Source organism: Homo sapiens, chromosome 18 (assembly GCF_000001405.40).
Source record: "Homo sapiens chromosome 18, GRCh38.p14 Primary Assembly".
Lineage (NCBI taxonomy): Eukaryota > Metazoa > Chordata > Mammalia > Primates > Hominidae > Homo > Homo sapiens.
In genome coordinates this window covers 75394587-75403920 of record NC_000018.10, presented here as the reverse complement: position 1 = coordinate 75403920, position 9334 = coordinate 75394587, and positions in this window count along the sequence as shown.

Sequence of the window (9334 nt, the reverse complement as noted above, 5' to 3'; positions counted from 1 at the left end):
ATACAGTTTTGTTAGCTATAGTGTTCCCAGGATGCTTTTTCAGATCATTTTATATTGTCCTACGTCAGTTTTACTGGCTGCATGAGGTACCATTTTCTAATCACAGCATTATTCAGTTAAACAATCCCTTAGCATTTGATATATATCAGTGAGGATCAAAACAGAAAAAAATTAAACCTCTCTACTATTTAAAACACAGGAAATTTAATGCAAGGAATTGGTTACAAAGGTGAGTAAAGGACTGGGAAGACATTTAGGGGATAATGAAGCAATTCAGAAATAGTAACAGTGAGAAGACTCACCACCCCATTCATACGGTTAAGCATAGAGGCACCATTTTGCCCGTCTTATTATTTCTATTGTCCATCTCTTTGGTGCCTCTGCTCTTCCTTCTCTGCTTTGTGTCGGGTTAATAAAATATTTTTAGTATTGCACTTTAATCTTTCCATGGGCATTTTAGCTATACTTCTTGCATTATTTTTTAGAGGTTGCTGTAGGGATTACAAGTGCACCTTTAACTTATCACCATCTAATTATAGGTAATATTGTATTGCTGCAAGTAAAACATTGGAAGCTCACAGCAATATAATTACATTTATTGCCGTATTCATCCTTTGTGCTATTGTTTCCACAAATATCCATCTGTCCGTATTATAAGTACCACAATATAATGGTAGAATTTTTGCTTTAAATACCATATGCCGTACAGAAATTAAGAAATGTGTATATATAGCATATATGTTTACATATATGTACATGTACATATCTTAAATATGCATTCCATATATTTTTACCCACACTTACCATTTCTTACACTCTTCCTTCCTTCCTGAAAATCTGAGTTCTCATCTGGTGTCATTTACTTCAGCATAAAGAATGATCTTCCTTGTAATGCAAATCTGTTGATAGCAAATTCTCTTAGTTTTCGTTTATCTGAAATATCTTCATTTCAACTTCATCTTGACAGGTACCTTTGCTAGATATACCATTCTGGTTAACAGATTTTTTTTCTACACATGTTAAGAAGTCATTCTATTGTCTTCTAGTCTCCTTGCTTCTAATGAACAGTCAGCTGCCATTCGGATCATTGTTCCCCAGTATGTAACACCTCATTTTTCTCTGGATGCTTTCCACATTTCCCCATTACCTTTACGTTTCAGGACTTTGGCTGTTGCGTGGCTGTATAATTTCATGCCTCTCTATTTCTGCTTCTGCTGAGATTTCTACTAGAAATGACCTGTCTCTCAACCCATTATCAACTTACCAATATCCTACCCGGGCACTAAAGACCAGTTCAGAGGTCTCCTTCTCTGTGATACCTCCCACAAAACCCCTGACAGTGTAATAGCTACTTCTCTCCTCTCCCAACACTTCACCCTTTCTCTTTATTATAGCACATGAAACATATCATTGTAATTATATTTTTGCATATCACCTTCCATTTGACTTTTCTCAATGACAAGAGTTCTCTCTTATTCTCTTTGCAGTCCTTGTACCTAGCACAATGCCAGGGGCATCATAGATGTTCAATGAATATTTACAGGCTGATTGGATGAATAAATAAACAAACTGAATTCACCAAAGACAATAAGCTAGTGTTTCTAGGGCCCTTTGTAAAGAGAAATCAAGTGACATTTACCCTCAAGTTTAACTTGATGATGAGTAACACTGTTTAGGCTTTGATTGAGGACATATAGATTCCTGAGAAACCTTCAGGGAAAAGCTCTCAGGTTTCTGAATGGAGGCCAAGAATGAGTTTTAAATCGAGACAAGTGAATAAAAGTAAAAGCAGTCCTTTTTTATTAGATGTTACCTTCCCAGTCATTATGAAATCATTTTGTATTCATTGTGATAACACCAATTATTAATGTACTCATTTGGCATTCATACGACTCTCTTATGCACTTCCATAGGAATTCTCTTGTAATTAACTATTAGTTGATGTTAATAGCAATAGATATTTAAAATAATATGCTACCAAATAGGGTCACCAACAGAAAAGGGATCAATGTATTCAAGCATGAGAGACTTGAGGGCAATCCCTTGCAGTGTGAAAAGTTCTTGAGATGCTACAATGGAGTTTGAGAAACTGTAGAAACTCAACTTAGCCCAAGATGGGACCCCAGGAGTCTTGACCATCTCTCTTTTCGAGAACATGATTTTAATTTAAAACAAAACTATGACAAACTGCCATTTGATTCAGCATTTTTCTTTCAGTTTATATGCAGATCAACTATGTCCTAAATTATCTATCTCTTATTTACTTCATTTACAACCTGTATTTTTCTATTAGATACCAAATCTTGTTTCCTAAATGACTGTTCTAGAAAAGAGATTTGGAGGCAATATCAAGATAAAGTGTACATTCATCCTCACATCAAAGAAATGCTGAGCTTATGAAGAACAGTAGTTTGTGAAAGATGAGTTACTAAGCTTCACCTTCAAACAGAGCCATTCGAAATACAAAATGAAGATCATAGTCTGAGCTCATGGGTTCATTAGGCTTGGGTGCACTTTGTGAGTTGCTGAGTGTGGTGGAGCTTGTCTCCCCCAGCATGTGCACAGCTTCCTTTCCAAGTGTGGCCCTTGTCATTATAAATACTGCAATCATAGGTTTTGATCTGACAGATGCCAGCTTTAAATCATCCGCCTTATGCCCCAGCTTTGGTACCTGAGGTCCTCGAATATGATGTCCTCCTTTCACGAACACCAAGAGGAAGATATCCCCAGTTAAAGGAATTCTAGAATCACGTGGCCACCTGAGTCATAGGGGCCCTTGGGAGTTTCAACCACTGAGGCCTTGGTGGTTTCTTTAGAGCATCCTGGACATTGCGCCCTACAAACCTCCACTGACCCTGGAATAAAGTTAGGTACATAGTCCCCATGTCTCTCCAAAGACCGCCAGGGCCACCCTGTCCCTAAAAGATGCCTCCTGTCAGCATAAGGATTCCTTGTAAGTGTACAGGCAGTGATATTAGTTCCTTAAAAACTGCTTCACCTTGCACTCCACAGCCAGATGTGAAAGGGAGATACATACACTGGAGGGAACACATCGACCCCCGCCTCACACTATTGGACAACCCACTGATTTCTAGGCCTAAGAGAGTTGTGTTCGTTTGGTGCGGAAGAGGTGAAGAAACATTTGAACACTACATGGGGGAGGAGAAGAGCAGCCCCCGATAGGGCAAGAGCAAAAGAAGCCCAAAGTGGTACACCAAGAGCAGACCTTGACCTGCTCAAATGCTGCTTTGTGCAGCTGGGATATCCTCGCTGCCCCTCCTCCAGAGTGACAGCTGTCAGGACAGCTGTGGCAGGTGGAGGGCACCCTGGTGGCTCTGCATTGAGGAGTTGCTGCCAAAGGGGGGTAGCAGCAACCATGGCAGGTTTCCCAGGCAGGAAGCACAGGCACAGCACCATATTTCTAGGAAAATCATTGTGGCCTGTGTCTGACAAGGGCAGGTGGGCTTGTGATGAACAGAACTGGGTTGAAGGAATTGGGGCTGTCGATGCTTGTGCAACCTCAACACACACAATCACTGCTGGCTCACTCCCAACGTCTCCCTCTCCACCTTAGAGGTAAACCTGCATCTCTCCCCTTTCAAAGTCCTCCTCCTGGATGGAATCTACTGATTAGCATGAATCCACATCAGCACCTAAAATCCTAGAATGTCAAAGCTAGGCAGGCCCTCACAATGGTCTCATCCAACCTTTGGATTTTACTGATGCAGAAACTAAGCTACAGAGCAAGAAATACAGGTGGCTGGGGCCACGTTCACCCACACTTACCCAGTCTAGCTCTGTAGGCAGCATTCGACGTGTGTCCTCTCCCCAGTGAGGTTGCTATGCCTTGAGTCCCAGGCATTTTCCAAAAGGTAAAGTGAGAAGGCCATCTCCTATCGTACTTATCCTGAGACAAGGAGGCAGTGAGCTTTGGAAAGCACGTCAGGGCAGTAGCGTGCCCACCAGGAAAGGACGACTCCATCTTACCCCCACCCCTCCTGGCACCTTGCTCCATCCTCATGTGCATTACAAGATGCCATGCATGAGCCTCAAATCATCTTTATTTCCCACTTACTCTATAATCCAGCCACTGCTCAGGGCTCCTTTCTGTGGTCTCCTTCCTGTAAGCAGGAGAGAGTACTGGGTCCACTCTGACCATGGACACCAAAACCATCACTGCAGCAGCAGCAGCAGCAAAAGGGATGGAATGGAATTCTACCCAGGGTTTGCCCCTTTAAAATCCAGGCAGCAAGAAAGCTCCACGCATTCTCTACCTTAATCATGAAAGGGCTTCATCTTGCCTCTACTGTACCATGTCTATAAAAACCATAAAGTAGAAATCTTTAATTACTCAGAAAGGTCAGGCTTCAAATTGTATATTTAATCTGGATTTAAAGAAGTATGTACCATGAAGAGTGATGCTGTGGTGTCTAAACACCTACTGCTTCCATTTTTCAAGGCACACACAGGCACTCGCAGGCACAGACGCAAATAAACCAACTATGCTTAGCACTGGCTACCTTTCTATTAAGAACCTTCTTTTAGAAATTAAATATTTCAGCACCTGTCATAAGACAGGTGATTCTTCCACAGTAGAGAGAAATAACAGTAGCATAAAAGAGGCTATTTTCACTTACCTTGATTACTAATTTGGAAAATGGGGGCTATTGAGATTAAAACTTCTCAGGACACCTACCTCCTTGACTTTCTTCTTTTCTTCTCTCTCTCTGTCTACTCTCACCTCTCTCTTCCTTTACTTTCAGACAAGAGCCTTTCTGGCTCAGGAGGTGGAAGGCAGTGGCCAGCAGCAGTGGATGCCCCCTGGGAGAATGGCAGGTGGGTGAAGAAGCAGTAGACAGGGTGGGAGTCTGGCCCCATGCAGGAGAATAAGTACAGATGTCAACGTTTCATGTGTGTGTAAACATCATAGGAGCCTGTGTTCTGACTGTTGGAGAAAGAAGGTACAGACGTGAAAAGGGAGAAAGCTGTAAGAGACCTGTGTTGTGAGATTCAAATTAGAGTTATTGATGTACATTCATGATAGATAGGAAGATGATAGATAGATAGATAGATAGATAGATAGATAGATAGATAGATAGATAGACAGACCAATGGTGGATGAAGAGAGAGAGAGAGGAAGGAAGGGGGCAGGTGGATGGATGGATAGGTAGATATAAGAAGAAATATAAATGTATGTATACATCTATATTGTACATATGCATATTTATTCATACTTATAGACAGACATTTTCTAGCCTTAAAGGTCTGAGCAGCAATACTACAAGTACCAATGAGTACATCTGCCACCCAGTTCTTGGTTTCTAAATTTGACTTTCCACTAAAACAACAAAGATTCCTTGAAGCAATGGCTAATATCAAACCAGAGTAGGAAAACATAAGATGAGCTTAGAATCGATTTTTGTCGAAGAAGGAAATAAATTGCCCAAAGAATGATAAGGACATGTCAAAAAGACGTAGCAGTAAGCCTGAAGGTGTTACTACTTGGCCAAGTCTGGGACGATTTGAGAGCCAAAATAAATAACAGTAGTAAGCAGACTGTAACCCAGTGGATTAAATAGTAATCATGGTGTTCATAAGGATATAAATACATGAATGCATAAATGGGGAGAAGGTAAATCTCTTCCTAGTAATGAAAAACCAACTAATAAATGTAGTAATAATGATGTAATTTTTAAATTGCCATTTGGCAGCCATCGCAATGATAATTAATTCAGGTGAGAACCATTATGGATGCTAAAACCGGAATGTGGAAGTTGGTCAAAGAAAAGCTTTCACATGCTCTCAAAGCATCTCCCCACAAAACACTTGACAATTTTTTGAGGAAGACAAAGTGACTTTTCAGTGGAGGAACTTGGCAAAGGTGACTTCACCAGCAGTGGGACAAGGCTGCAGCCTGTCCACCTGAGAGGATGCACTGAGAAGGACAGAGCACCCCCTTCCCTGACATTCCGGCCAAAGGTGCACAGCCTGGGGCTGCTTCTACGGAAACATCAGACACATCCAAACTGACGGACAATCTACAAAAATAGTTGGCCTATCCCCTTCCAAAGTATCAAAGTCATGAATGTTGAGGAAACCATTACAGATTGCAAGAAACTAGAGAGACAGGATGGCTGGGTGCAGCCTGGGACCCTGGCCTGGGTCCATTGGACATCAGTGAGACAGTTGGTAAATTTGGAAGGAGTTTCTGAGAAATGGGTCCAGGGATGTTGTTCATACTATTCCTGCAACTTTTCTGTAAGTTTAAATTGTTTAAAAAAATAATAATGAACAATTCCTGCCACACTGGCTGAAGAATCTAGGAAGAGACTAGTGCAGCAAGAATTGTCCCAATATCTGTGTCCATTCCCAATGAGCTTCGTTCTGCTGTAATGATTTCCCACAAGTATTTTGCTGTGAAAGAAAATATAACGAAGTGTACTTGGAATTGATGCACTAATATCTAGGCCAACACTTCTTCCTTTTACTGACAAAAAGTAGCTGAAATAGCAGTTTGAGGCTGACAATAAGTATGTAATTTTTGCTTTGCTGCTGACTTCCCATTTGTCATGGGACACAAAGGAAGGCACTCTCCTTCTCAACCAACATCAATGGCTCCCATTTGCCTATAGAATAAAGTCCAGACTGTCTAACCCAGAATTTGAGGCCCTTGATCTTCCATTATAGGTCCAACTCCTGCTAGCAATCTGCTCACAATTTATATACAGTATGTTTTTACAAAATTCTTGTCCCCTGGTTCCTTCTTCAAAGCTTTCTCCAGTATTGTTATTATTACTATTGGCATTCCGTCTCTTCCTCTCACCCCCAGCACATTGCCTCCATTTCTATTACAGCATCTTCTTGATTCTTTCCTTTCATATAGCTAGTTGTTTACTTGTCTGTCCCACTCACTAGATTTCATGCCCTGAAGGATTTGTTATTTAGGAAATGATTTCATGGGCCCATGTCCTCTTATTAGATATGAAAAGATATATTCAGTAGGAATTTATTGAGTATCTACTATATCCTAAGAAACACCCAATATCATTCTCAAGATATAGTAGATACTTAAATTACTGCTGAAGGCATCTTTTCATATCTAACAGCTTCCAAATAAATCTACCTTGGTCAAATGCTCAAGAAATTGTTTACTTTTGAAACAGAGGGAGATTTTTTGACACACACACATGCGCTGAGTGAGGGTCGCACAAACTACTTAGATGAACTTTTCACTTGAGTAGACAAATAGGTGGTCAGATGATTAGTAGCATCCATCACTGGTTTTAATGTTTATGGAGCACAAAATATTGAGAAAAGTTTTCATTCCCATATACTCTAATGTAGTTATTTCTGTGTACTTTCCAGACTTCCTACTAGTAACAAAGGAAGAGGGAGTTAAGAGAAGTGAACTTGGCCTTTTGTCCAACCTGAATCACTGATCACATCTTTCCTCACTAGAATACCTTCACTGGTTTCAGTTCAATACACCAATACGTAATGTACAATGAAGACAGAGTAGTCCAAGAATAACTGACTCGAAGTGTGTTTACAAGTATTTTGGTAGCTGATGGAGGGATAAAGTCATCCAAAGAAATAATTTTAGTTTTTCCCCCTTTTTTATTCAAAAATAAATACAGTATTTGAAAATGCCAATAGAGTACCATGAGACATTTCAGTTAAAACAACCTTGGAAATACAGAACCTACTCACCCAAGAAGAAAAACATTCCTTTTACTGTGCAAGTAGAATACATTCCTCTTCTCCTGCACTTTACGACTTGCATGAGTAGAGGGGAGAGCCTTCTGCGTTGGTTGAGAAATGTCTTATCCTCAGGCCCCTCCAGGGCAATTACTGCTGAGGTGGATGTGTCCTCTCTGAAAGGGTTTGCTCTTTCAGGAACTAAAGATCGGTGACAGGAACACAGAATACTCAAGTGTGATCTTAAACTTCACTCTATGGCAGATGGTATCTTTTAAAAACACAGATTTTTTAAAAGGTTTGTTTTGGGTTGGGATAGAGTTTACATTGGCATTATCTATGCAAAATGGATTTTCTATCTAAATAAACAGCGTAAGTAGGACTTATTTAAAGGGGGTTTCGCTAATTAAGATTTTTTTTTTCCAAGATGGAGTCTCGCTCTGTCACCCAGGCTGGAGTGCAATGGCGCACTCTCCACTCACTGCAGCCTCCGCCTCCCAGGTTCAAGGGACTCCTGCCTCAGCCTCCTGAGTAGCTGAGATTACAGGCGCACGCCACCACATCTGGCTAATTTTTGCATTTTTAGTAGAGACAGTTGCCATGTTGCCCAGGCTGGTCTAGAACTCCTGACCTCAAGTGATCTGCCTGCCTCAGCCTCCCAAAGTGCTGGGATTACAGGCATGAGCCTCAGTGCCCGGCCAATTAAGATTTTTTTTTTTCGACTATTTTAAGCATTCAGAAGTATTGACTTTTCAGGCAGCAAATTCTGAAATTTTGCTTTAGGGAAAGCAAGCAAATGAATTCTTTGTGAAATCTCAGCTCTGCAAGGGCAAGGCTCCCCAGGTCACGTGGCAGCAGCCTCCTTCAAGGTGTGCTGTCCAAGGTAACAAACCTGCATTTCCTCTAAGACCTTGCTACTCAGAGGTGGTCTGCAGATCAGCACCAGTAGCATCGCCTGGGAGTTGGTTGAAACACGAAACCCCGGACCCACTAGTCATGTAATTGATGAGCACGTGAAAGTTTGAGAGGCATTGCTGTCTCCTGAGTGAGAGGGGTTTTGCTCCACTCATTTTTAAATAAGAAAAGTTTGTGATCTATACATGATTTAGAAGGTTCTTCCCAGGATGATTGAACACAATTTAGAAGGGCAGGAAATCTCATCTTGCCCCATCACAAATTCTCTTGGACCGATTAAAGATTCATTAAACTCCTTGATCATTCTTACTGCTTCCACAAATGGATTTTGAGAACCTGCTCAAATATTCGAGAGGGTTTGGCCCCCAGCGCACCTCTGCTCCTTTCCTGTAGAAGATGCTGTTCTTCAGAAGAGCCAGCTAACACTCATGTGGAAAGTCAGGGAAGGGAAGCTCCCCGTGCAGTCAGGTTGGCCAAATTGACCCAAGCAATCAACAGGTGCCAACTCACTCTCACACCCCAGTTCAGGTTTGCTCAGTAGTTGACTTCCTCAAAGAATCTCTACATGAAACCATTAGTACACAATCACCTTGGTCACACTGCAACAATCTTTATATGTGACACTACCTGCTTTACCCACAATCCACTCTGAAAATTAATCTTCAGCGTGATTCTTTAAGTAACATCTTCCTATTTTGATGCAGGGAAGGAGAGAGTATTT